The 27,591-nt window shown below is 50.8% G+C and overlaps 1 protein-coding gene across 4 annotated transcripts in view, besides 7 other annotated features; it reads left to right on the forward strand.

Annotated features, from left to right (window-relative positions):
* Positions 3,641-3,856: a silencer, noted in NCBI's record as "fragment chr10:73715248-73715463 (GRCh37/hg19 assembly coordinates)". NCBI's record gives its function as "represses an EF-1alpha promoter that drives an FKBP-Casp9 reporter gene in an ReSE screen in phorbol 12-myristate 13-acetate-treated (for megakaryocytic differentiation) K562 erythroleukemia cells {active_cell/tissue: K562(+PMA)}" and the evidence as "EXISTENCE:reporter gene assay evidence [ECO:0000049][PMID:32094911]".
* Positions 4,321-4,430: a silencer, noted in NCBI's record as "silent region_2468". NCBI's record gives its function as "represses an Ori minimal core promoter by ATAC-STARR-seq in GM12878 lymphoblastoid cells {active_cell/tissue: GM12878}" and the evidence as "EXISTENCE:reporter gene assay evidence [ECO:0000049][PMID:35858748]".
* Positions 4,878-5,097: a silencer, noted in NCBI's record as "fragment chr10:73716485-73716704 (GRCh37/hg19 assembly coordinates)". NCBI's record gives its function as "represses an EF-1alpha promoter that drives an FKBP-Casp9 reporter gene in an ReSE screen in K562 erythroleukemia cells {active_cell/tissue: K562}" and the evidence as "EXISTENCE:reporter gene assay evidence [ECO:0000049][PMID:32094911]".
* CHST3 (carbohydrate sulfotransferase 3) overlaps positions 12,546-27,591 on the forward strand; it is a 49,164-nt gene continuing 34,118 nt past the window's right edge. Inside the window, exon 1 of one of the 4 annotated variants that reach the window (NM_004273.5) lies at positions 12,546-12,845. The gene's annotated coding sequence lies outside the window, so the exon portion shown is untranslated. Of the gene's footprint in view, positions 12,846-12,949; positions 13,052-13,491; positions 13,627-18,704; positions 18,866-27,591 lie in introns of those variants that run through there. The other 3 variants (NM_001441202.1, NM_001441201.1, XM_011540369.3) reach the window with 3 other exon arrangements.
* Positions 17,732-18,275: an enhancer, noted in NCBI's record as "H3K4me1 hESC enhancer chr10:73729339-73729882 (GRCh37/hg19 assembly coordinates)". NCBI's record gives its function as "activates a minimal SCP1, AML or CMV promoter by ChIP-STARR-seq in naive H9 embryonic stem cells {active_cell/tissue: H9 hESC(naive)}" and the evidence as "EXISTENCE:reporter gene assay evidence [ECO:0000049][PMID:30033119]".
* Positions 18,276-18,819: an enhancer, noted in NCBI's record as "H3K4me1 hESC enhancer chr10:73729883-73730426 (GRCh37/hg19 assembly coordinates)". NCBI's record gives its function as "activates a minimal SCP1, AML or CMV promoter by ChIP-STARR-seq in primed H9 embryonic stem cells {active_cell/tissue: H9 hESC(primed)}" and the evidence as "EXISTENCE:reporter gene assay evidence [ECO:0000049][PMID:30033119]".
* Positions 21,582-22,081: an enhancer, noted in NCBI's record as "H3K4me1 hESC enhancer chr10:73733189-73733688 (GRCh37/hg19 assembly coordinates)". NCBI's record gives its function as "activates a minimal SCP1, AML or CMV promoter by ChIP-STARR-seq in primed H9 embryonic stem cells {active_cell/tissue: H9 hESC(primed)}" and the evidence as "EXISTENCE:reporter gene assay evidence [ECO:0000049][PMID:30033119]".
* Positions 27,080-27,581: an enhancer, noted in NCBI's record as "H3K4me1 hESC enhancer chr10:73738687-73739188 (GRCh37/hg19 assembly coordinates)". NCBI's record gives its function as "activates a minimal SCP1, AML or CMV promoter by ChIP-STARR-seq in primed H9 embryonic stem cells {active_cell/tissue: H9 hESC(primed)}" and the evidence as "EXISTENCE:reporter gene assay evidence [ECO:0000049][PMID:30033119]".

Below are 27,591 nucleotides of genomic sequence, written 5' to 3' on the forward strand. Positions count from 1 at the left end.
TAGAAGGGGGCCTGTTTTGTAAGAGGAAAGGCTGTCCATACATTAACTCAAATGGACTGAGGAACAAGGGTGCTTTTGGACTGGCTCTGATGCAGGCCAGTGCTATGGGCAAAAGGGAGGTCCATGGGTTTTGGACTTCAAGAATGAGTTTGGTCAACTAAGCTTTAAGGATCCCATTTGCCCTCTTGACTTTTCCAGATGACTGGGGCCAGTATGGGATATGAAGTCACCACTGGATGCTGAGGGACTGAGAAACCTGTTGGGTGATTTGGGAGATGAAGCTAGGGCTACTGTCTGATTGTATGGAGTGAGGGAGACCAAATCTAGGGATGATTTCTGTTATAAGAATTTGGGGGACATCTGCGGCCTTTTCTGGAAAGGTAGGAAATGCTTCTACCCACCCAGAGAAGGTATCTATAAGAGTAAGAAGAAATTTTGTCCTCTTGACGGGAGGCATGTGGGTGAAGTCTACTTGCCAGTCCTGCCCTGGGAGTGTTCCTCTGAGCTGATGTGTAGGAATAGGGGGAGAGCGGAGGGCCCCTTGGGAGGAAGTAACACAGCATATATGACAGTTTAAGGTTATGTCTTTTAGTGACGTGAATAGAAGGGGAGAGGAGAAATAAGGGCGATGGAGTAGGTACAGGGGTGCTCACCAATATGGAAGGATTGGTGAAGAGATGTCAGAATTTCTTTGGTTTGCTCTTGGGGGAGGATGAGCTTTTGATTTTTGACTATCCAGTCCCTTGAAAGGAGGCTCCTTGCTGTAGTAGCGAAGCTTTCTCAGTGAGAGAGTACTTGGGTTGGATTGCTGAGATAATGAGGAGGAGAGGGGGAGGGGCAGAAGAAAGGGAGGATTCTTTTGCTGCCTCATTGGCCTTTCTGTTCCCTCTTGAGATTTCATCTGATCCTGTTTGATGTCCTCGACAGTGTATAACTCCTGCTTTCGCTGGGAGGTGTGCAACCTGAAGGAGTTGGTAAATAAGGGGGCTGTTAGTGATGGGGGTTCCTTTGGCAGTAAGGAATCCTCTCTCTTGCCAGATGGAGGTGTGGGAATGACGAATGTGATAGGCATATTTGGAGTCTGTATAAATGTTGACTCATTTGCCTTTGGAAAGGGTTAGAGCCCTGGTGAGAGCTATGAGTTCTGCCTTTTGGGAGGAGGTTCCTGGGGGTAGGGGCTTGGCTTCAATTACTTGTCAAGGGAAACAAATGTATATCCAGCAATTTTGGGGGAGCTGGTGGGCCCAGAAGAGGAGCCATCTATGAATAGTTGTTCATCAAGGCTGGTGAGAGACTCGGAGGAAATGTTTGGGAAATGTAGCTGTACATGGTCCAGAATGTCAGTGCAAGAATGAGTAGGAGGGGAAGAGAATACAGGGAGTAAGGATGCTGGGTTCAGGGGAGCACTTTTGGCAAGACTGGATTCGGGATTTTCGATAAAGAGGGCATGGAGTAATTGAATCCAGGAAGGAGGAAGGGAGCTTAGTGCTCGGGAGGAGAGGCGATCTTGTAGATTATGAGGACTGTGGATGGTGGTATTCTGGCTGAAAGTTAGTTTCCTGCTTTCTAGAGCTAAAACGGTAACTGCTGCTAGTGCTTTAAGGCAGGTTGGCCACCCTTTGACTGTGTTATCTAGTTGTTTAGAGAGGTAAGCTACAGGGGCAAAGGAAGGATTTCCTTTCTGTTGTGCTAAGACACCGAGGGCTATTCCTTGGCTTTCGGCAGTATAGAGAGTGAAAGGTTGGGAGATATCAGGTAAGGACAGAGCTGATGCAGTGACAAGAGCAGTTTGGAGTTTGCGAAAGCTGGGGTGTATGTTATGTGTGGGGTTTAGGGGTTCATTGAGAGGGCCTTTGGCCACTTCATAGAGGACATCAACTAGGAGGACAAAGTTGGAAATCCATATTCTGAAGAAGCCTGCTAGCCCTAGGAAGGAAAGGATTTCGCTTTTGGAGGAGGATGGGGGTAGATTATCTATTAATGCTGCCCCAGCTGGAGTCATAACCCAGGCCCCAGGGGAAAGTTGAATTCCTAAGTAGGTCACCATGGAGGTGGAGAGTTAGTTGGGCCTTGGAGGGGGAGACCCTATACCTTTTGATAGTGAGAAAGTTTAAGAGAGTGGCCGTGTGAATTTGAGAGTCTCTTAGAGAGAGGCTGCAAAGAAGAAGGTCTTCCACGTATTAAACAAGAAGACTGGGAGACAGGTTTAAGGAGGTGAGGCCTCAGACTAGAGCTTGTCGGAAGAAATGAGGGCTATCCCTGAAGCCCTGAGGAAGGACAGTCCATGTGAGTTGTTGTAACTGGAGGGTGTCAGGGTCAGTCCAGGTGAAATCAAATAGGTTTGGGGCATCAGGGTGTAGGGGAATGGTAAAGAAGGCATCCTTCAGGTCAATTGTGGTGTAGTGGGTGGTGTTGGTGGGGACAAGAGAGAGAAGTGTATAGGGGCTAGGGACTATGGGATGGATAGGGAGGACAGCCTGATTGATGGCTCAGAGGTCCTGAACGAGTTGGTATGAGCCATCAGATTTTTTTTTTCTTTTGAGACAAAGTCTTGCTCTGTCACCCAGGCTGGAGTGCAGTGATGTGATCTTGGCTCACTGCAACCTCCACCTCCCCGGTTAAAGCAATTCTCCTGCCTCAGCCTCCTGAGTAGCTGGGATTACAGGTGCATGCCACCATGCCTGGCTAATTTTTTTCTATTTTTAGTAGAGACGGGGTTTCACCATGTTGGCCAGACTGGTCTCGAACTCCTGTCCTCAGGCAATCCACCTGCCTTGGCCTCCCAAAGTGCTGGGATTACAGGCGTGAGCCACTGCGCCTGGCCCAGAGCCATCATATTTTTTAACAGGGAGGATGGGGGTGTTATATGGAGAGTGTGTCGGTCTAAGAAGAGTGCATAAGCAGAGCTTGTTTATGATGGGTTGTAGGCCTTTTTGGTGAGTTAGGCAGATTGGGTATTGGCGAACATTGAGAAATTTGGAGGGGTCTTTTAACTGGATTTTGATGGGGTCATGGTGAGCAGCTATGGAAGGGATGGTGGTGTCCCACACTACTGGGTTAAAGAGAGAGGCGGGAAGTGGTACTGGGGAGAGGGATCAGAGGCTGGACTAGTGGAGAGGAGCAGGAGGGACTCTGCTTGAGGGGAGCAGGAAAAGGTGATAGAAGCTTTGAATTTGGCTAAAAGGTCTTGGCCTAGAATGGGGGTGGGGCAACGAGGCATGATAAGGAAAGAGTGTGAGAAAACGGTATCAAACAGGGAACAAGTAGGAGGTCTGCTGGTGCATGGACGTCAGATGAGTCCATCAACCCCCACAACTAAGACTTGATGTTGGTAGAGTTGCTGAGGCAGGACTGGCTTGTCTGTCATAATATAAAAGAGTATTGGAAGATGTCCGGGGTCCGGGTCTAAAACCCCTTGTGGCCTTTGGAACACCAAGCTCTGTGCCAAAGGGTGGAAGGCTGCCCTGCCGCACCACAAATTTAAGCCCAGGGCATAAAACTCCTCATGACTTGGATGGAATCCAGGGCTCAGGGCATACAACCCCTCGTAGCCTCTGGAATGTGCACAGACTTGTTGGTTGCTCTCCCAGGCTCATAAACATGTTCTCCATTATCTCAAGCAGCAGAGCATATTCATATGTGTCAAAGAAAATGCTAAAGTGTCACAGCTACGCTTGATGCACCGCTACCTTTCTACCCCCATATCCGCATGTCCTCACCACCTGCTTCTTTGTTTGATCACCAATAAATAGTGTGGGTTCCCAGAGCTCGGGTGCTTCACAGCCTCCATACCAGCATTGGCCCCCTGGACCCACCTTATGCACTCTTAACTTGTCTTTTCTCATTCATTTGACTCTGCCAGACTTCGTAGCCCCCATGGCCTAGTGTTGGGTCTGATCACCCTAACATTTCTGGCGCCCAACATGGGGCTATGAAGACCCTGGTGAAGGAACACTAGAGCATGTGGAAGCAGAGGACACATTGTCAGAGGACACCCGAGGATGACTGAAAGAAGCTCGGCAGGTAAGCTGGGCACTCGTAAGAACCAGGGTAACAATGGGACAGAATGAAAGTAAACATTCTGCTTATTTACATTTCTTTTTTTTGTGTGTGGGTGGCAAGCCACCCAGGCGCCAAGGCAAGAGACTGAAGGCACAAGCTTGTTACAGTATAATAAAGAAAATACTTAAAATAAGAATAGTTATATTAGACGTAGAATATAGACACGATTATATATGAATATTATCAATCATTAGTTTGTAGCATTACTCTTTATTCCAATATTATAATAATCTCTGTTTTACAATTATAACCTAGGAAAAACCAGGCCATACAGAGATAGGAGCTGAAGGGACATGGTGAGAAGTGACCAGAAGACAAGAATGCGAGCCCTCTGTCACGCCCAGACAGGGCCACTAGAGGGCTCCTTGGTCTAGCGGTAGTACCAGTGCCTGGGAAGGCACCCGTTACTTAGCAGACGGGGAAAGGGAGTCTCCCCTTCCCTGGGGGAGTTAGAGAAGACTCTGCTCCACCACCTCTTGTGAAAGGCCTGACATCAGTTAAGCCCACCCACAGCCATCCAGAGGCCTAAACGTCTCCCTGTGATGCTGTGCTTCAGCGGTCACGCTCCTTGTCCACTTTCATGTTCAGCCCTGTACACCTGGCTCTGCCTTCTAGATAGCAGTAGCAGAATTAGTGAGAATATTAAAGTCTTTGATCTCTCCAAGAAATTCATAGAAGAAATAATGGCATAAGCTGTCCCCTCTCTCTCTCTCTGCCTCAGCTGCCAAACAGGGAAGGGCTCCCTGTCTGGTGGACATGTGACTCACATGACCTTACCTATCATTGGAAATGACTCACATTCCTTACCCTGCCCCCTTGCCTTGTATACAATAAATAACAGCACAGCCAGGCATTCGGGGCCACTACCGGTCTCCACATTTTGGTGGTAGTGGTCACCCGGGCCCAGCTGTCTTTTCTTCTATCTCTTTGTCTTGTGTCTTTATTTCTATGATCTCTCGTCTCCGCACACAAGGAGAAAAACCTACAGGCCCTGTAGGGCTGATCCCTACATTTTTTGAGACAGAGCCTTGCTCTGTCACCCAGGCTGCAGTACTGTGGCACGATCTCGGCTCAGTGCAATCTCTGCCTCCCGAGTTCACGCCATTCTCCCACCTCAGCCTCCCGAGTAGCTGGGACTACAGGCATGTGCCACCATGCCCAGCTAATTTTTTGTATTTTTAATAGAGACAGGGTTTCACCGTGTTAGCCAGGAATGTCTCGATCTCCTGACCTTGTGATATGCCTGCCTTGGCCTCCCAAAGTGCTGGGATTACAGGCGTGAGCCACCACTCCCGGCCTTAGTTATTTAAATTTCTTAAGGCATTTATTATGGAAAGGGGGAGTGAAAGTTAGTACTCAGAATTTATTAACACTCTTTAGTACAGTAGAGCAGTTTGCCCATGGTTCCCAGAACAAGGGACAATGGGGTTGGATGAATGGGAAAGAATTGGCAGAGATTTTAAAAAGGTGCATAAAGAAGGAGCCAAAATTCCAGTTTCTGTTTGGTCAGTGTGAGCATTGATAAAGGCAGCTCTTGAGCCATTTCAAACAATGACAAGACAGATTCAGATGAGGAAGAGGCAGACAAGTGTAAAAAATTAACTTCAGATTCTGAATGTGAGGAACAGGAACCAGAGGAAATTAAATAAAAGAGAGGGAAACTGAAAAAGGTACATTTCACTAGCCTGTCGGTTCCACCTGCTGAATTAAGTGAATGGCCACCTCCTCCCTCTCCCCTTAATGGACAAGAACATGAACTAGCTAAAAAACTAAAAAACTGCTCCTGTAGTTGCAACATTAAAACCTGGAGCTATTGGTGGCGCTATACAAAATTCTATTCAAAAGGCTAGAGCCGAGGGAGACCTTGAAGTATGGCAATTTCCAGTTACTATAACCCAGCAAGGAGGGCAGAATATAGCTAATTGGGCCACTTTTCCTTTTAAGTTGTTAAAGGAATTCAAGCGGAAGCCATTAGTCAATATGGGCCAAATTCTCCTTTTGTACAAACTTTACTAAAAAATGTGGCTCTTGATAATAGATTAATACCATATGACTGGGATACTTTAACAAAACCTGTTCTCACTCCGTCCCAGTACATGCAGTTTAAAACTTGGTGGGCCGATGAAGCTCAAACTCAAGCAAGAGAAAACACACAAGCACAGCCGCCTGTGCCTGTTTCCTTTGAACAGTTAATGGGGTTGGGCCCTAATTGGGGCCGACTAGACAATCAAGCAGTAATGAAAAACGTTGCCATTGTTCAGTTACACACTGTGTGTTTATGGGCATGGAAAAAAAATAAATGTTATGGGGAAAAAATATCCTTCTTTCAGTTCTGTCTGACAAGGACCTAAAGAATCATATACTGACTTTATTGCTCGGCTCCAAGAGGCTGTGCGTAAAGCCATAACTGATGAAATAGCTCAAGATGTGGTAATACAACTCCTTGCATATGATAATGCCAATACAGAGTGTCAAAATGCTATTAGACCTATGAGAGGGAAGGCTCATTTGGCTGAATATATTAAGGCTTCTGATGGCATTGGAGGTAACTTAAATAAGGCTACTCTTTTAGCCCAAGCTATGGCTGGACTAAAGGTGGGAAAAAATATGCCCCGTTTCTCAGGCTCTTGTTTTAATTGTGGGCAATTTGGACACACAAAAAAGGAATGTAGAAAAGAAAATCAAAAGGCAAAAACTATTACCATCAATCAACAGAAAAGTCCTGGCGTATGCCCCTGATGTAAGAAGGGCAATCACTGGGCAAATCGGTGTCATTCTAAATTTAGCAAAGATGGGCAACCTTTTTTTGGGAAACGGGAAGAGGGGCCCACCTCGGGCCCCTCAACAAACCAAGGTATATCTGGCACATTCAGTGCCCTTACAAATGTACAACAGTTGTCCCCTGCCACAGCAGGCAGTGTTGCTGTAGATCTTTGCAGCACAGTTCCCATTTCCCTACTTCCTGGGGAGCCACCAAAGAAGGTCCCCATGGGAGTCAGGGGCCCTTTACCCTCAGAACAGTTGGTCTATTGCTAGGAAGGTCTAGTTTAAATTTTAGAGGTGTCACTATGCATGTAGGAATAATTGATTCTGATTATACCAGAGAGATTCAATTAGTTGCTAGTTCCTCAATTCCATGGTCTGCTTCCTCAGGAGAAAGAATCGCTCAGTTGTTACTGTTACCTTATGCAAAACTGGGACGCAGCATAGTAAAAAGAATGGGAGGCTTTGGTAGTATGAATCCAGCAGGAAAAGCTGTATATTGGGTTAATCAAGTGTCTGATAAGAGACCTATTTGTACAGTAACCATTCAAGGAAAGAACTTTGAAGGGCTAGTAGATAACTGGAGCTGATGTTTCTATATTGGTTTGAATCAATGGCCCCAGCATTGGCCTAAGCAAAAGGCATCCATTGGTATTGTTGGAGTAGGGGCTGCCTCAGAAGTTTTTCAAAGTTCTTTAATTTTGCCATGCCAAGGGCCAGATGGCCAAGAAGGGACAATTCAACCTATTACACCTATTCCTGTCGATCTATGGGGTAGAGACTTATTACAACAATGGGGTGCTGAAATACCTATTCCTATTGATCAGTATAGTATTAACGGTAAACAAATGATGAGAAAAATGGGATATCTCCCAGGGAAGGGACTAGGAAAAAATGAAAATGGCCAACCAGAACATTTAGAACTAAAAGGACAAACAGATCAAACTGGATTAGGGTATCATTTTTAGGAACGGCCATTGCTGAGCCTCCGGCTCCCATTCCTCTTGTTTGGTTAACTGCTAAACCAGTTTGGGTGGAGCAATGGCCACTGAAACAGGAAAAACTGGAGGCTTTAAAATAATTGGTACAGAAACAATTACAAAAGGGACACACAGAGCCTACTCTCTCTCCTTGGAATTCTCCTGTGTTTGTTATTAAGAAAAAATCCCAGAAATGGAGAATGTTAACAGATTTGAGGGCCGTTAATGCTGTCATTCTACCCATGGGTGCACTGCAACCAGAGCTGCCCTCCCCAACTATGATTCCTAAATCCTGGCCTCTAATAGTGATAAATTTAAAAGATTGCTTCTTTACCATTCCTTTAGCTACCCAAGATTAGGAAAAATTTGCTTTTACTGTTCCCGCTATAAATAACAAAGAACCAGCAGACAAATACCATTGGAAAGTATTACTATTTGTCAAACTTATGTCAGAAAAGGTATTAAGCCAGCTAGAGAACAATTCAATAAATGTTATATTATCCATTACATGGATGATATTTTATGTGCAGCTGAAACTAGGGAGGAAAAGGCTGTAACAGCAGCAAGGTTAATCATAGCCCCTGATAAAATCCAAACTTCTACTCCCTTTCAGTATTTAGGAATGAAAGTAGAACAAAGTACTATTAAGCCTCAAAACATTCAAATTAGAAGAGATAATTTAAAACCTCTAATGATTTTCAAAAATTATTAGGAGACATTAATTGGATTCATCCCACTTTAGGCAGTCCTACTTATGTTATGTCTCACCTCTTTTCTACCTTACGAGGTGATTCTAACTTAAACAGTAAACACTCCCTGTCCAAGGAGGCATTAGAGAAACTTCAATTAATTGAAGAAAAATTTCCACAGGCACAAGTGACTCGAGTTGACCCATTGCAGTCATTACAGTTTTTAGTTTTTCCTACTAAACATTCACGTACAGGAATTATTGTTCAACAGAATGATCTGGTTGAGCGGCTTTTTGTACCTCACAATACAACCAAAACGCTTACTCTGTACTTAGATCAAGTTGCTGTATTAATGTAGTGTGCAAGGCTGTGCACAACAAAGTTAATGGGATATGATCCAAATCAAATTATACTTCCATTAAACAAACAACAAATTCAGCAAGCTTATATTAATTCCCAGGAATGGCAAATTAATTTGGCAGGTTTTATTGGCATTCTTGGTAATCATTATCCTAAATCCAAAATATTCCAATTTCTTAAATTAATATCATGGATATTGCCTTCCATTACTCAAAAAGCCCCTATTGAAGGGGCCATTACTGTTTTTACTGATGGATCTAGTAATGGAAAGGCCTCATTTGTGGGACCTCAACAACAAGTTTTTCAAACTGACTTTGCTTCTGCTCAAAATGCTGAACTTATGGCTGTGATAACAGTGTTAAAAACTTTTAAACAGCCAATAAACACTGTTTCTGATTCAGCCTATGTAGTGCAAGCCACACAAAATATTGAATGTGCCTTAATTCAAAATGTGACTAATGACCAACTTAATCTTTTATTTCATTCTTTACAGCAAGCAGTACAACAAAGGCATTCCCCTTTCTATGTCACTCATATGAGAGTGACATAGCCCTTTAAATTTAATCAAAGGGTGGATAATTATATGGGGAATAGGATTTGCTTGTGTCTCTCAGGTAACAATCAGGTGCCTGTATGAGTGCCCACCAAACATCTGAAAATCTATCATGAGCTACAGCAGGAAGAGAGGACTCTGGGAAGAGTCCTCTGAAGAGTCCAGAGACGTGGTTTCACGGTGTTAGCCAGGATGGTCTCGATTTCCTGACCTCGTGATCCGCCCACCTCGACCTCCCAAAGTTTTGGGATTACAGGTGTGAGCCATAGCGCCTGGCCATTACCCGGCAGCTTTGTTAAGGCCTGCAATGAGGCAAGTAATCATATAGTTACAGACGCCCAGCTGGGGTCTGTGGGTTGGTACTCCCAGGAAGGCTCTTCCTGGGGAACAGCAGTGGCTCCTATGGGCTTAGCAGGATCTTGCCCATGAAGATCGTCAGTGTGTGCCTGTGCTACAAGCCACACTCTTTCCTTCTCTTCTGGAAGGAGAGTATAGAAGAGAGGATAATGTAGAGATCATGCCAAGTGAGTTCATAAGATTGGGTAAGATATTTAAATTCTTTGATATAAGTATCAGGATCGGAGGAGAAGGACCTGAGACGTTTTTCAATCTGTGAGAGATTGGAGAGGGAGAAAGGGAAATGGACACGGATGATCCCCTTGCTCCTGCTACTTCCCAGAGAGGAAGCAAGGGAACTGGTTGCTGAGTATGTTGGGCCCAAGAGCGGGTGAGGGGTGGAGATGGAGAGGACTCAGAGTCAGAAGCGGGGTGGTTGGAGAGAGGGGGACAGATGGGTAGAGCCAGAGCAGGGACATACCGTGAAGAATCATGATGCTCTGGTGGAGGATCAAGATGCTGTCAGGGAGGGGCAAAATTGGCGGGGTCAAAGAAAGAGGAGTTGTCGGCTGGGGCTGTTGCGGGGGTGGTGGGAGACGGGGGTGGTGGGAGACAAGTCTGGTGAGTAGGATTTGGAAAGTGGAGCAGTACTGGCAGAGGGAAGGGCGGTTACGGAGAGTGAAGAAAGCCTGAACATAAGGAATCTCAGACCATTTCCCACTGCGATGGCAAAAGTCGTCTAAGTCTCTAAGTATATTGAAATCAAAAGTGCCATTTTCAGGCCATTGGGAGCCATTGTCCAATTGGTATTGAGGCCAAGTGGTATTGCAGTAAAAGATAAGTCTCTTAGAACGGACCTCTGAATGGAGGCTGAGAGCCTTGAGATTGCAGAGGAGACAGCCAAGGCGGGTGGTCTTGGGATGGGTAGACTGAGAGGCTCCCATAGTGAATGGAGGGTGGGGGGTAGAGGAAGAAGAGACTGCAGATGACAAGGATGGCGAGAGAGGGTGTCCCCTGTCCTGCAGGCCTTGTCTGGAATAGAGGCAGCCACCGAGTCAGGTGTCCTTCAGGTCTCCTCTATTCTGGACAAGGCCCTTGGGTGAGGGGTGATAGGAGAGAGAGAGGGGAGGGGGGAGAGGGAGAGAGAGAGAGACACCTCTAAGGACACGCAGCCAGAGCCTGTCCCCTTCCTGGGTTTCGGCACCAAAATGTAACGTTAGCTGAGAGAAAGGACAAGAGAGAGACCCAAAGTTAGGCGAGTAAGTTTATCCTGCCGGGCTGCTCCACCACAGTCAGAGGAGGCAGCCCTGGAGCTTATAAAATGAGGGGTTCATATGGGGGAGAGAGACCCTGGGGTTGTCGGTTAACTTTACCACATATCATCTCGTGACCGCTTACAATATAGGAATTTAGAAGAGGGTGTAACTTAAGTTTATCCACATTTCTCGTGACCTTCCCCATGCTGCCTGTTGGGCTGTAAGCAAGTCTGGTGACCTTGCTGTAGCACCTAGATAAGGGTCCAGGAATGCAGCTTCGGAGTATTCAGGGTAAGGGTCAGCTGCATTGTGTGTGGGGCGGGGGGTTCCTGGGGCAACTTGTCCCTAACAGGGTCAGGATTAGTTCTATCTGGTTCTCTATTTGCTGTCCATCTGTAAATGCTGAGAATGGCAGAGGGAGGCCAAGTGTAGATAATCAGGTTTTAGCTTTTTTGGATTTTCCTACTTCTCCTGTACAGGAAATAACTTATTGTCTAAACCCCATACTATCCCATTAAATGTCAGGAGTGCTGTCTTAGGCCTGAATTAGCTCATGACGTTACGTACTGGAAGTCCCAGGAGGAATGCCCAGCAAGTGGAATCCAAGACGTTCTCGCCTTCTCGGGGACAGGGCCATCACCAGGATTCGGAAAGGAACAGGGAGGTTCGGTTTGTGTTCCAGTTCTGAGCCCTTTACCTCATCCCTCGAGAAGCTGGCCTTTGCACCCCGCAGCCGGTGCTGCCCAGCCGACCACGCCATGCACGGGAGGCGACTGGGACCCCACTTGCCTGGCAGCCCGGCCGGAGACCCAGCTGCCTGGGAGGGTCCGAAGATAATGCCAGGCAGCCCTGGCGGGCCGGGAAGACCCTCTGTCCCTCCCGTTTCCCAGTTCTTGAATTAGGGGAGCCTTGGACTGGCTGGCGGCGCAGGAAAGTGCAGGAGGGCGGATGTGGGACCTGCTGCCGCCCAGGGAGACGGTGCTCTGTTCTTTGGAACCAGGGAAACCGTCCTCCAGCCCACTTGCCCCAGGGGGGAGCAGGAAGATCCTCTCCGGGCAGAGATGATGGGGAACCCGTGCAGCCAGAGGGTCTCCCTGGCAAAGGTCGGGGGAGGGGGCGGCCGTAACGGCCCCGGGCGCTCCGGCACGGAGAAGCCAAGGGGGTTCTCCAAGCAGCCTCCACCCACCAGCCTCGCCAGGAGAGCGTGGATACCCGAGCGGCCCCAAGCGAGTCCCCGGGGACTGGAGGGCCGAGGGGCAGCGCCCGGAACAAAGGCCCGCAGAGGGGTCCTGGAGACAGCGGCTCCCCGGGGGCGGCTCCCCTCTCTCCCCTCTCTCCCCTCCTCTCCTCTCCCGCCAGCTCCTCCTTCTCCTCCCCTTCCTCCCCCAGAGGCCCGGCCGGCTCGCGGCCCGAGCAGCGCCAACTTCGCCAACGGTTCCCAAGTTGCCGGGCGCGCAGGGGTGGGAGCTGGGTGGGGTGAGGAAGAGGAGGAGGAGGAGGAGAAGGGCTCCCGGACGCCTTGGACGCGGTTCAGGAATCCGCCGCCGCTAGCCGGCTCGGGCCTGAGCGGGGAGGGCGCCAGGCAGGACCTCTCGCAGGCTCGCTGCGCAGGACGGCGCCCGCCTGGCGCCGCTTCCCTTCCAGCGTGCCGACCGGCCCCGCAGCGCCTCCATCCCTCCGGCCCGCCCCGGAGAAGACGCACAGCTCGGGCCGCGCGGGCGCCGGGGCCGCGGAACCGCTTCTGCCGGGATCTTCCAGGAGGAAAGCGAAGTTGCGAGCGGATGCTGCCCGCGCCGGACCCCAGCCGCGGAGGGTCGGGGCCGCCGGTGGAGTCTCGGCGGCCGGGGTAAGTGGGGCGCCGGCGTCCTGGAACCGCCGCCCAGCCCGGGGGAGGCCGCCCAGCCGGGAGCCCCCGCCTTCCGCGTCCAGGCGCGCGCGCCAGACTTTGGAGGGAGAAGGGGGCGAAGCGGACGGTGGGAGGTGGAGTTCCCAGCTCGGGGAAAAGCCCAGGCAGGCACCCACAACCCGCTGCAACCGGATCACACCTGCCAGGTACACACAGCTCATCGCCACTCATACCCCGCACACGGCGCAGGCTGATCTGCGCACACCCACACCGGCCAGGCACATGCCACACACCGAAATGCACATTCCTGGGAGCGCGGGGGATTTGGCCTCTACAGCAGGCACGTCCTCACACCCCTCCGTCACATCCACGGCCTTTGTCTGCTGCCCCCGCAGCCCCCAAGGAGAGGGAGCCCCCAAAGCGCAGCGGGCAGGAGAGAGGCTGCCTGGGTTTTGAAAACTTGTGGCCAGAACCCCGAGACCAAGGGGAGCAGATGTTGCAGTCGGTTCTCGGAGTTCTGCAGGAGCGAATTTGGTGTGGAAACTCGGTGTCTGGGTGATGTGTGAGTGTGCGAAGCCCTTCCGGAGGCGAGGCCCGGAGAGAGGAGGGAGTGATTCATAAACTCAGAGCCGGCGTGCCAGGGTCTGTGAGCAGCGTGGAAGAGGCTGGCAGGCCGTTGCTGCGCTAGACAGAAGGGTAGTGGCCGTGACAGTCTTCCAGGGAAGCAGGGACCCTTCCCCCCAGCGGATGTGCTTCCTCCAGGGACTTCCAAGGGAACCGGGTGAGCAGATTCCAGTCCTGGGTGTGGACGGGGTAAGGGGAGGTGGGGGGATTTAAGCCTAAAAGGTTAGGGAGAAACCAAGGCAGGCCTGACGCCTTCATTATTTTCCTTGCACCTGAAGTTGTGTTTGGTTTCTGATGCGTGGTGTTGCTGGGCCCCAGGATGTACGGGGGATTGTCCTGGGCCTAGCATAGTGCCTGGCACAGTGGGCACTCAGTCAGTACTTGCTTGATGAATAATGACACCGGTAATTATCATTCATTATGGACTCACTGTGCGGCAAGGCCAGTGGGCCTCTGCTGGGTTGAAATTGATTTTCCAGCAGAGAAGGGGGCCTGAGTAGCTCCTAGGAGCCCTGCCTGATCTGCTTGGGCCAGTGGCCCAGGCACTGTGTGTTCCACTGTGTCCCGTGGGCTGGCCTTGGGAGACTGGAGCTCATCATTGGCCTCTGCCCCTCTAAGAGGGCAGCAGGAAAAGCTTCATTTCTGTATCTGGCTAAGATGGGGTTGATGTGGGTTTTGGTAGATGGCAGGCTGTTTGGCAGATTCTGTGGGGTCTCAATTGAAGAATAACTTTAGATCTGCAGCAGAGAGAGGGGTTGGTTCCATCAACCCTCCCATCTCCTGGCTGCTGGAGAAGAGGGGTGGGTAAGTGGAGAAAGAGATGGGCCGTGCTGCTGGGCATGTGCTGGGGGTAGGAGGAACATGGGAACATGTAGAATTTGGGGGCAGCCGTTTTTCTTCCTGGCTCCTGATGGCCTGGCTGGAGATGGGTCTCATGAAGGGTCTAGGAGCTGTGTTCTGCAGCAGTGGCTTGGCTCTGTGGTGGCAGCAGGTAGAGCAGTGGTCACAGTCCCTGTACTGAGTATTGCTGTGGGTTCTCCTGTGCCAGCTTGCATGAGTTTCCCAGAGGAGCAGAAACATTCGTGTTCCTGGAACTGGATTGCCAGTAGTCTTGGGATTGAGAGTGCACAAAGATGTGGGGGTGGCCTGGGCATGTCATCCAAAAGAAATGTGTCATTCCCCACCCCTGCCCCCTTGTGAAGAGCTCTGACTAGGTTCAGTGTGCATTTCAAACTTCTAAATGCTGAAATTAGCAAGGCATGTGGGCGGCACCAAGGACTGGCCTCAGATGAAAGAGGAGGTGATCTGGGCTTGGGCACCCCCAATTTCAGGTGGAACCCTGCAGCCAGTTCCTTCCCTATATCACCTTTCCACCTTCATTATGCCCTCTGTGAATCGAGAGTTCTGTATACATTTTCTAATTAAATCATTATATCCCTATGAGGTTAGCATTTCATCTCCATTTTGCAGATTAGGAAACTGAGGACCAGAAAAGTTAAGTAACTTTTTCAATGTCACACAGGTAGTGAGAGACAAAGCCAGTGTTTGTGTATTTGGTTTTTTTAAACTTTATGTTAGGTTCAGAGGTACGTATACAGGTTTGTTACATAGGTAAATTGTATGCCATGGGGGTTTGGTGTACAGATTATTTCATCATCCAGGTAGTAAGCATAGTACCCAATAGGTAGTTGTTGGGTTTGTTTGAGACAGGGTCTCTATTGCTCAGGCAGGAGTGCAGTGGCACGATCACTGCCACTCACCATAGCCTCGACCTCCTGGACTCAGGTGATCCTCCTGCCCCAGCCTCCCGAGTAGCTGGCACCACCATGCCTGACTAATTTTTTTGTATTTTTTGTAGAGACAGGGTTTTACCATGTTGCCCAGGCTGGTCTCAAACTCTGGAGCTCTAGCGATCTGCCTGCCTCCACCTCCCAAAGTGCTGGGATTACAGGTCTGACACACTGCACAGGCCCGAGATGGGTGGTTTTTGATCCTCACCCTCCCCACTGTCTCCACCCTCAAGTAGGTCCTGGTGTCTGTTGTTCCCTTCTTTGCGTTCAGATGTACCCAATGTTTAGCTCCCACTTCTAAGTGAGAGCATGGGGCACTTGATTTTCTGTTCCTGTGTTAGTTTGCTTAGGATAATAGCCGCTAACTCCATCCATGTTGCTGCAAAGGACATGATCTCATTCTCTTTTATGGCTACATAGTATTTCATGGTATATATGTACCACATTTCTTTATCTGGTCTACCGTTGATGGGCATTTAGGTTGATTTCATGTTTTTGCTATTGTGACTAGTGCTATGATAAACATACGTGTGCATGTATCTTTATGGTAGAACAATTTATATTATTTTGGGTATGTACCCAATAATGGGATTGCTTGGTAGAATGGTAATCCTACTTTGAGTTCTTTGAGAACTCTCCAAACTGCTTTCCACAATGGCTGAACTAATTTACATACCCATCAGCAGTGTATAAGCACTCTGTTTTTTGTTTTTTGTTTTTGGTGGGAGTGGTGGGATGGAGTCTTGCTCTGTCACCAGGCTGGAGTACAGTGGTGCGATCTTGGCTCACTGCAACTTCCACCTCCCAGGTTCAAGCAATTCCCCTGCCTCAGCCCCCTGATAGGCGTGCACCACCATGCGTGGCTAATTTTTTTTTTTTTTTGTATTTTAGTAGAGACGAGGTTTCACCATGTTGGCCAGAATGGTCTCGATCTCCTGACCTCGTGATCTGCTCACCTCAGCCCCGCAAAATGCTGGGATTACAGGCATGAGCCGCCTCGCTTGGCCAGCACTCCCTTTTCTCCACAACCTGGCCAGCATCTGTTAATGTTTGACTTTTTAATAATAGCTATTCTGACTGGTATGAGATGGTATCTCATTGTGGTTTTGATTTGCATTTTTCTAATGATTAGTGATGTTGACCGTTTTTTCATATGTTTGTTGGACACATGTATGTCTTCTTTTGAAAAGTATCTGTTTGTGTCCTTTGCCCACTTTTTAATGGGGTTGTTTTTTGCTTGTTAACTTGTTCAAGTTCCTTATAGATTCTGGATATTAGACTTTTGTCGGATGCATAGTTTGCAAATATTTTCTCCTGTTCTGTAGGTTGTCTGTTTACTCTGTTGATAGTTTCTTTTGCTGTGCAGAGGCTCTTTAGTTTAATTAGGTCCCATTTGTCAATTTTTGTTTTTGCTGCAATTGCAAAGCCAGTATTTGAACCCAGATTGTCTAACTCCAGAACCCACCCTGTCTCCACCATGCCAGGCTGTCTGCAAGGCCCTTATTGGTTCTCCATGGCAACAGGGAAACAGCCCTGATGCTTCTTACTAACGTGGTCCCAGGGCCTCTGCTTGCATTCTTCTTTTTCCATACACTCTGCCGAGCCTGGATATACCTTAGGCTGTGGGAATCAAAGGCTGGGTGGTACCAGGCTGCTGGAGCCTTCTGTGTGGCTCTGGAGTCAGAAAACTGTGGAGATTTTGGGGGGGCACACAGGGAGATGTTGCAGTAATTCCAGTGAGACATGACTCACTGCTTATCTGAGAAGTTGGGACAAAGCTGCCTCTTGTGACCATACCGTGAATAGGGAAGAAATTGCCAGGTAGACCAAACATCCTCAAATGGGTTACTGTATTTTTTTCCCCTTTTTGGTCCTCTCCAGGGTAATCTATTACCTGGGGAAATCAGCCTTCACCTGACACCTCCTATTGTCATTTACCTGGTGAACATAAGGGGCCATGTCACAGCTGTCCTTCCCACCCCTGCCACGTGTTCTGGAGAGCTGGACTCCTCAGCAGCACCTGGTCCACAGGAGAGAAGAATGGGGCAGAGCCGGAGCAGCCAGGGGAGGTGATAACCACACGCTCATCTGGTCCCCAGCTCTTGCTTTTACATCCACGCCCCACAGGGAGACAGCAATTATCTGTTGGCCCCACTTTACAGATGAGGACATGAGGCTCAGAGAGGTGCAGTGGATGCCCAAGGTCACGAAGCCAGGCATCTGCAAAGGCCTGGGACAGCCACGTTTTCAGTCGGGGTGGTATTTTCTATCCCCGGCCCCAAGGGCTGAGAGTGGTTATCCCTGCTGGGGCAGGGTCCTCACTGCTCCACCCACCCTCATCTCTGCCCTGAGAGCCCCCAGTACAGATGTCCATAGAACGGGAAAGGCTGGCGCCCTTCAAAGGACGCAAAGAGCATTGGATGAGCACTGCCCAGCTGATCCCTGCCCACCTTCCACAGGAAGCCCACCTGGGTGAGTTCTTAGAGCCTTCCTAGTGCTGAGCTGCAAAGAAACTGGAGCCCTCTCCCCCTCCACTGCAGAGGGGACACAGTGACCAGGACGGAAGTTGGGGGACTGGGTGTGGGGAGAAGCCACCCCACTGCAGGGGCCGGGGCTGTCCATCTTTGTACCCCTGGTTCCATCCCAGTGCCTGAGGCATGGGAAGTTCTTGGAAATGTAGTCAGATGCTGGGTGAAGCCCCAGGAGGGGCCGTGAATGCTTCTGCTGGGAACTCCTAGAGTGGCGGCACAGAGAGGGTCTTTGCTGCGAAGGAACACTCAGAGAGTCTCTGGCTTTCGTGAGGTTATGCCTCAGGAGAGGAGACACTTCTCCTTTTCATTCGTTAAACAGAAATGATATTTGCCACCTTTTCTTCTCTAAGGCCTAAAGAGATGACAGAATGCTGCTGGTCCTACCCTGAGCGCGTGGACTCCACAGCGGGGTGTGGGGTGGCCCCTGGCAGGCCTGGACGGTTTGTTCTGTGCTTGCCGGTGGACACGCTTCAGCCCTCTGTCTCTATTGCCCCAAATCTGGCCTGTGGCTGCTGGGCCGCCACCAGCTTGGAGGGCAGGGTGGGCCCCGGGAGCCCCTGACCACCAGTGACTTCTTGTCTCCAGCTGCCCTCCGTCCTCTTGATCCCCCTCACCCCCCACCACCTCCTCACAAAGATGGCTGTGTGCTGAGGGACTGTGGCTTCCCTGGGCCCTAGGAAATTTATCACTGAGGTTTCAGAGGACTCTATGAAAAGGATTTGGAGAAAAAGTGTGGAAAATAAACAAGCCAGTTCCCAGTTCAGCCTCTCCTGAATGCCGCAAGTAAACAACCACCTCGGAGGCCAGCCCGGGATGTTCTTATTTGGCCTCTGTGGTTACACCTGCCCCCTCCCCGCCCAGTCCCTCCTCCTTAACTTTAAGAGCCTCAAAAGTCAGGGAACACACCCTCCGCTGGCCAGTCCTTGTGCTGCAGGGACGCTGGTGGCTGGGCACAGGAGGAACATGTATATGGGAGAGAAGACGGCCGGGGGTCCCAGCTCAGCCCTGCTCCCTCTGAGTCAGTCCCAAGCCTGGACCCTCCCCAGCAGGCAGACGGTGACGTCTTGGTTGGTTGGTGAGTTTAACTTTGATGGTGCAGAATGATGAGACTTTTCTCCATTTTGTGGCATCTGAGAAGCTTTGCTTCTTAAACATTGCTTTAGGGTGGATAGACCAAAGCTAATTTTCCCGTTATGTCTCTCCAAGACGGGGCCTACCTGTGAGCAAACCCTCATAGATTCATTTACTTTGTAGGCTACCTGGACAAAAATGTCAGGTTTCTTTGCTTTGGGCTGGAGTCCTATCAGCTCAGGGGTGGTGGTGTAAGGTCACACCAATGATTTCCAGAAACTCAAGCACTATTCTGAGTGACTAAGTCTGTGGGATAGGAAGCACATTTTCCATCTCTTAATAACTTCAATTTACTTAGTGACCAACTTTAAAACCAGGCACCCGGTTAGAAGGGGGAGAGCCAGGGCTTGGCAGCGGAGGGTCCTCACCTTGCATCCAGGGAGTGGCTGAGGGCCCTTCTCGTTCTCTGTGGCTGTGCTGAGCTGAGTCAGCGAGCCCTGAAGCCTCTGGGATTTGGGGAGTGGGGCACTGCTGGAAGGTTCTGGTTCCTGCTTTGTTCTGCTGCTGCCAGGCTTCTGGAGAGGGTGGTTGTGGGGTGAGTCCTGCGCTCCGCACGTCCACATGTTCGTATTCTACATATTGGGCTTCTGAAAAAAGTTCTGGTTCATAAGACGGCTTCACAGCTTAGCCGTCTGCAGACCAGTCTGCAGGTTGATCAGCTTTCTGTCATGTGTGTGCTGTTCCTGTTCACACATGCTGCGCCGATGCCCGCCTGTGCCTGTGCCAGCCCCAGCCCACACAGCTACCTGAGATTTAGCCCTGGGCATCTCCCCTACCCTTTCCCGCTTCCCCCTCCTCTCCTCCCTTCCTCTCCAGCTGCCTCGCCATCTGCAAGATTCTGGAAAGTGCTAATGTGTCTGAGCCAAACAGTGCTATCTGAGGAAATATTTTGAAAACACACTGGGCCACCCCCGTCCCCGCACTGTGACTACACTGATTTTCAGCAAGGAATTTCACTCCAGCCACAGGGCAGGGCCGCAGGTGCCTGGCTTTCCTCTGGAGACTTCCAGGGGCTTGTTAGAGACACGGAGAGAAGCTGAGGGCCTGTCCTGCAGGTTTGATGTGTCTGAAGAGGCCCCGAGAATAGAAATCTAGAACCTGCCAGTCACGAAGCAGTGTCACCCACCAGAGGATGAAGAACTGACTGTGACCTCGCAGGTCACCCACTTGCTTTCTTTTTACCGAGACATGCTATTTCTCTTTCACTTTTCTTCCTTCTCTTGCATCTGGTGTAGGTGCCTGGGGGTAGCGTGCCCAGGAAACAATAATAGTAAGAGCAGCTGGTGTGCCTAATACTGCCCTGAGCACCTACAAGGCGTCCTCACCGAGTTCTCACCAGAAGCTCTAGAGGTGGCTCCGGTTATTCCCACCATTTTACAGATGGGAAGACAGAGGCAGACAGCTGGATAAGTTGCTGACATGCCACAGCCGGTGAGGGGCAAAGCCGGGCCTGAGCCCCACAGCTGACTCCAGAGTCTGTGCTCTCAGTACCACCTGTGCGTGCGTCTGTCCCGTTGTGGCTGCACCGAGAGGAGAAACAGCACACAGGCATTCATTTTCAAACCGTGGCCAGTGCATGTCATTGCGTTCTGACTGGGAAGCTCTGGCAATGTTGGCGTTGCATGGCCTATTGTGGGCACTACCAGTGAGCCTCGGCCTTCTCCAGGTCTGACTCCAGTACCTGCCGGCTGCCCTGGGCAGGGCATTTTGGATCCTGCCTCAGGGTCTTTTGCCCGCTCTGCTGATGCCACTCCCCTGTGCCCTGACCTGGTCACAGGAAGGGTGCAGATGGCAGCGAGTGTGGTCTCAGTTAGCAAGGGGGAGCTGGCAGATCCAGGGACTTCTGCCTCCCTAGTGGCCATTCCAGCAAGACAGGAACCCCACCCCGAGTGATGTCTGGCCCTGTGACCTTTCAGCAAATATTTCTTCCCCAGCCTCACCTGGACTCGGTATCCCATGTTCCAAATTGTCCTAATTTCCCAGACACACACACCCTGCTCTCTGTAGCCTTCCCAGCTGCCAAGAACATTCCCTCCTTCCCCCTTTTCCCCTTGGCTTGGATGCCACCTTCTCCTGGAAGCCTGGGTGGTGGCCCTCCCCATGGCTGCCCACAGGTCCCCCTCACTGCCCTTTGCCTGTGGTATTATGATTGCTGGTTCAGTGATCTGTGGTCTGCACCAGGCAATGGGATGTGCAAGGGCAGGACAGCTGTCTGCCTTGTCCATCCTTGTAGCCCCCGACTTAGCAGTGAATGCTGCTACCTGATTATGGAAGGAATGAGTGACTGATGTGGCACAGAGCCCTCAGTGGGGCAGGCCCAGTCCAGGATGCTTCTGTGAGGGAGCGCTTCGAGTCTGGGGAGGGTGGCAGGAGTCGTGGTGAGCGGGAGGGGTGGCTAACGTGGGCCAAGGAAGGGACAGACAGGAAGAGTGGGACCCCGGCACATGGCCTCTTGAGGTCATTACCCCATGGGTATTGGGCTGGGATACTGAGGATGAGCCTGAAACCCTTCCAGAAGCCCCTCCAGTCCTGCCACTTGTCTGCCTGCCTGCCCTGGATGCCCGTTTTTGGGCTGGTGGCTGGCTGCACTCTGGGCCCACTGCTCAACCCCACCAGCAAGTGGAGAGCCATTCAACAGCCCCAGGGTCCAGTTCCCATCTGCAAGTAACGAGGCCTGCCGTGGCTGAGTCGTTTCCCTGAGCAGAGAGAAGGAAGCCCTACTGGCCGGCTGCCTCCCCAGGGGTGGGTAGAACTGTTCTGTGGCCCCACCTCCAGCCCTCAAGCTGTCTGTCCTTGCAAAAGTAGTGGGGCACAGAGTGCTGGGTTCTTGGGCATCACCTGTCCAGGTCCTGCGCGCCTATGCTCATGCTGACACTGCAAGATGGTGGGATAACAGGAGGGACTTTCAAGCTGGAAGAGAGGAGAGCTGGGTGCCCCAGTAACCACCTTTGAGTCCCACTGTGATGAGCCCACAGAGGTGGACATGAGGGAAGACTTGGGGAAGCCTTCCTAGAGGAGGCAGGCATTCCAGTGCATGAGGGAAGCTGGGCAAAGGCACGAGGATGGGAAAGTTCCGATTGAAGACAGGGACTGGTGAGGAGTCTGGCTGGACTGAACTGAAATGTATAGGATACACGAGGAGAGACAGGCAGGATGGAGTTGTGGTTACGCACACAGGCTCTAGAGCCGGGCTGCCTTCACGGGAACCCCAACTCCCCACTTACTGGCTGTGTGGCCGTGGCCAAGTTGCTTACCTTCTCTGAGCTCAGTTTTCTCACTACTGGTACCCCCCACATGGGGAAGACATGGGAATAAAATGTATTTCTATACAAGTGTTGAGAGCAGTGCCTGGCACACTGAGCATCAGGAAGGGTGAGCTATTATTATATAGGTATATGTTTTAATGCAGCTAGAAAAGGAAATTGAGGTCAGATCATAGAGGCCCTTGAATGTCATTCTTTCCATTCACTAAGCACCTGCCATGTGCCAGATTCTTCACAGTCATTCTCACCAAGCCCCCTACAACCCGGCAAGGTTGTTAGCAATGTCTCCATTTCACAGATGAGGAAACTGAGGCTCAGAGAGGTTGAGTAACCTGCCTAAAGTCACTCAGTCAGGGAGAGTCAGAGCCAGTAATAACACCCAGGTCTGCTGTCGCTTGAGTCTTCCCTCAAAGTGAAGATTGGAGAGACATGGCAGGGGCATCACAGGGATGAGCCCTGGGCTGGGGCCGCAGCCAGGAGCAGAGCAGGAATGTGGCAACTGTGGGTCCCTGGGGCAGGGTGGAGACGGGGAGAGATGCCAGGCGGGCCTGGAGGGTAGGGAGGACTGGAGGCTACAGCATACAGCTCACCATTCATAGCCCAGGGCAAACCATTGAGTCATTTGGGGAAAACATGACATCACTGAGTCTCACTGTCTGCCGCCCACCTGCTGTCTGCCCTCTATGGTTCTCCTGATGACCTCAGTGCCCCAAGTCCTGCAAGGGGACCCGCACACCCCATGTAGCAGGGCCAGGTCAGCACTCCAGCTTCCTGCACTGGGTTCTCCTCCCCAGCCACTGTCTCCCACCTTCCCACCACTCCCTTCCCTGCCTGGGTCCCCTGCCCCAGCCCTACTCATACACACTGCTGAGGCAGAAGCTTCTGGAAGTGGTGATGGGCATGAAGAGCTTCCAGAAGGGCTTCCATGCCAAGCCCTTGATTGGAATTCTGGGTGGGGAGGGGACAGCTCAGAAGCCTGTGTCGAGCTTTTAGAGTTGCTTTTCCTTGAGAATGGTGCCTGCTGTTTGGGTGGGATCACTTTTAAAAAGTAAAGCCTGGTAGAGCTATGTGACCAGCACTATGCCATGACCTAGAGGAGATTCAGACTGACGGGCAGGCCCTGCCTTCCTGCAGAATACAGTTGAGTGTCTGAGAGTTCTTTCTGTACTAAGCATCTTTGAACTGAGTGCTTTATTTTCGTCCATCTGATTGCGCGAGGTAGTCTTATTTTACAGATGCCATCCCCGAGGCCCAGAGAGGTTAGGCAACTTGTCCAAGGCCACACAGCCAGGATTCACACCCATAACTGTCCAACTCCAGATGTGCTCTTAGCCACTCTGCCATCCGGCCACAAATAAAGCCACCAGAGAACCACAGAAGGTGGAACATATCCAACATTTGCCCGATAAATTGTATAGTGCAGACAGGAAGTACAGGGAGTTTTCATCTCAAAGTGTAGGTCACTCCCCAGAGTGGCTTGAAGTCTGTAGATCCATTTAGGAGAACATCCAGCTTCACTGGCTGTGCAAATCCCACCCATGCGGCTGTTTGGGGTGAGAAGTTTCTTTAAATGTCTGTTGACTCTCTTCTCTGGAAGGAGCACGGGGGCTCAGGGGGCGCCTGTCCTGGCATTGGTGGCCACACCTAGAAACGGACTATGAATCAAGCCAGGGGCCCAGTGCCAGCTTCCTTGGCCTGTCTGTGGGCGCAGATGCCAGCCTTTGCAGCTGCTGCTGCAACTCACAGCTCTCTCCCGGTGCCGCCCTCAGTCAGGCCAGCTGGAGTGGAGGGGCCAGTGGCCGTGCCCTGTGCAGAATGACATCCTCTCACCTTCACAAGGGAAGCGTGATTATCCTTGCTTTCCAGGTGAGGACACTGAGGCCTAGAGAAGTTTTCTGGCTGTCTGAGCTCCCTTGGCCTGAGCTCCCGCGGTAGAACCGAGACTCAAGTCTTCTTTCTGCAGGCAGATGGCCAGTTTCTTCCTGGAGGAGGGAGGAGCCAGCTTGCCCTCTGACACTGGGTAGCACAGCCCTGTTCGATTCTCTGTTCGGGGCTTGCACTTCTGATTCATTCTGCAGTCACTGGCTCTTTGTGGTTCGGGAAAATGACCCTCTAGGGTAGGAGAAAAGCTCTTGGAGCACTTTTGAAGCCATAGAGGCCCTTTCCAGGCTTTGGAAAATGTTCCTTCTCCACCCAGATGCCAACACCACCCTGGTCCTGGCAGTACTTGTCCCTGGAAGGGCCTCACTGCGGTGACTCATTACCCAGCATGCAGCACATTGCCATTGCTCTCAGTGGGCAGGTGCTGTGGGGACACGGGTCTGCGGGCCTGCTGTCTTCAGGGGTCCCCCATGCCTTTTAACGCGTGTATCAGTGTACCCCAAGCCTCAGTTCTGTGTAGTTTGTACAACTCTGGCCCCTACCCCAAGGATTTCTGGGAAGCCCCCAGGAATGCTGATAAGTTCACAGTCTGCCCTCCCCAGCCCCAGTCTCATCAGGCTTCAGGGGTGGCCATTCCTCCCCTCCAGGAGAGAGAGAACTCAAACCAGTAACTACCCCTCCTCAGGCTCAGGCCCAATGGTTGCTGTAATAATTTCTGGGGAGCTGTCTTTGCTCTTGCAGAGAAGGCAGGCCTTGAATTCAGACTGGAGGGGCCATTTTTCTTCCAGTTGCCCTCAAATTTTCCTTTCTGTGATAGGATTTGTCCTTTGTCTCTGCTTAAATTCAAAGACTTGTTAAAATGACTTTTCTCAAACAAGAGGCTACCCTCAAAAGAACTTTGCCTCTACGGATAGAAAACTGGAACCTACTTTTATTTTGGTTTTAGTTTTATTAAATTGTATAAAATCAATAATACATGTCCATGGTGCAAAGTTGAAAAGGCACAAAACAGTCTATGTGTGGTCTCTTTCCCATGCCGGACTCAGACACTCAGCATTGTTAGTTTTGTGTGTGTGTGTAAGCTGTGTTTAAATTGTCCAGCTTTAAAACAAAACCCTTCCCTGTTTCACAATTAGGTTGACCGAGGCACAACCTGAAAAATAACCTGGAAATAGCATCGGGCCCCCTGCAGCGTCCAGCTCTTCCCGAGGACTGTTATTATGATAACGATCATTGCTAAGGCTGTCCCTTCCCAAAAAGTGTTGCTGCCCACAGTCCCAGCCCCCAGACCTGAGCAGTCACCCACACAGCATGAATGGGGCCAGCCCCAGCCTGCCCGCTCAGCTTCCAAGCCTAGCAGTCTCAGGCTCTGGGCTAACCCTGGCCTCCCAGCTGCCCCTTCAACATTGTCCCCTCTTGTCTTGCAGGGCAGTAGCCACAGCTGGGGCTGTGGGGTCAGGGCATGGCAAGGGTGATCTGACCAAACTATGCTGCCTCTTAGCCAGACTGTATATTCGGAGTCCCCTAAGCTCGATTTTTTTTTTTTTTTTTTTGAGACAGGGTCTCACTCTGTCACCCAGGCTGGAGTGCATTGGTACAGCCATAGCTCACTGCAGCCTTGACCTCCCAACCTCAAGTGATCCTCCCACCTCAGCCTCCCAAGTAGGTGGGACTACAGGTGTGCTCCACCTAATTTTTAAATTTTTTTTTAGAGAAGGGGTCTTTCTATGTTGCCCAGGCTGGAGCTTGATTGTTTGTTTGTTTGTTTGTTTGAAGACAGGGTCTTGCTCAGTTGCCCAGGTTTGAGTGCAGTGGCGTGATCTCAGCTCACCACAACCTCTGCCTCCCAGATTCAAGTGATTCTCCTGCCTCAGCCTCCTGAGTAGCTGGGATTACAGGTGTGCACCACCACACCCAGTTAATTTTTGTGTTTTTAGTAGAGACAGGGTTTCATCATGTTGGCCAGGCTGATTTTTTTATTTTTTTAAAGAAGGTCTCCCACCAGCTGGATCTGAGCCACTGGCTGAGAAGTGAAGTCCATGAAGCATTCAGCAATAGTAACAGCACCACCACCTCCTCATATTGAACCTGCCTCTGTGCTTCTTCCTACGCCTTCCTATGCCTCTATGCTGACTTCTGGAGAAGCCAGTCACTTGCCCGGTCACACTGTACAAAGTGGCTCAGGGCTGGACTCACTGGCTTATGCCTGTAATCCCAACACTTTGGGAGGCCAAGGTGGGTGGATCACTTGAGGTCAGGAGTTTGAGACCAGCCTGACCAACAAGGTGATACCCCATCTCTAATTAGCTGGACGTGGTGGCAGGCGGCTGTAATCCAGCTACTCGGGAGGCTGAGGCAGGAGAATCTCTTGAACCAGGGAGACGGAGGTTGCGGTGAGCCGAGATCACACCATTGCACTCCAGCCTAGGCGATAGACCGAGCCTCCGTCTTAAAAAAAAAAAAAAACAAAGTGGCTCAGCTGGGCTTGGATCTCCAACATGCTGGGCCCCAGTCACCAGATTCCTAACCCCGTGCTGCCAGGCTTCCCCGGACAATATCATGAACTCAACAATCCGCTCCCTTCCTCTGCAGGGCAACCTCTCATTCCCCAGAGCTCATTTAATAACAAGAGTAGTAATCATAGTTAACCTTCTTTACCCTTTACTATGTGCAAGGCATTGTTCTAGAAGCGCACACATCGATCATTTAGTCCTCACAGCGCTCCCATGTGGTAGGTGCTGTCCTTATACTCTTTTTGCAGATAAGCCCAAGGCACAGGAGCCTGCCTGGTAAGCAGCCCATGTCTAAAGGGCAGTGAAGAACCGGCCTCTAGGGAATGCAGGGCTCCTCTTGTACCCAGAGGGGAGGCGCCCTGCCTCTTCTCTGTTGAGCCTTTGGAAATGGCCTCCGAGGGGCCCCTGCTCAGCACAGCTCTGTGGGCCAAGAGCAGGAGTGTTTGAGGCACAGATAGACGATGTCTGGACCCCTCCCCAGGATGCCTCCCCATGTCTGACCTTGGGGAGTCCAGTGCCAAGGGGGAAGTTCAATAACATACCAGGTTTCTCCTTGGCCCTGGGACAGGTTCCTTCCCTTTCCTTCCCTCCTCCCTGCATCCTTCCTTCCTTTCTTCCTTCTTTCCTTACATATTTATTCAGTGCCATACAGCGATAGCGCACACGTGTTACCTCTAATACAAGGTGAAAAGTGATATGAATGGTGCAAGGTAGAGAGAGGAATGGTGCTGGGAGAGGAACGTGTGGTAGGAGGCCCTCCCTTCACATCCTGGCCTCAAACCTCCAGCCGGTGGCCTTGGGCGGGTCGCTCAGCGTGTCTGGACCTCTGTTTCTCATCTGGATAATGAAGGAGAGGGTGGAGGTGAGGACCCAGGTTGCCTGCCAGGCTCTTGTGAGAATTGGAGGTGTAAAAGGGCTTTCTTTTTTGTTTTTTTAGACGGAGTCTCGGGAGGGGGGTTAGATGGCGGGAGAGGGGTTAGATGGCAGGAGAGGGGTTAGACTAGTCCCCTGGG

Source organism: Homo sapiens, chromosome 10 (genome assembly GCF_000001405.40).
Source record: "Homo sapiens chromosome 10, GRCh38.p14 Primary Assembly".
NCBI classification, from domain to species: domain Eukaryota; kingdom Metazoa; phylum Chordata; class Mammalia; order Primates; family Hominidae; genus Homo; species Homo sapiens.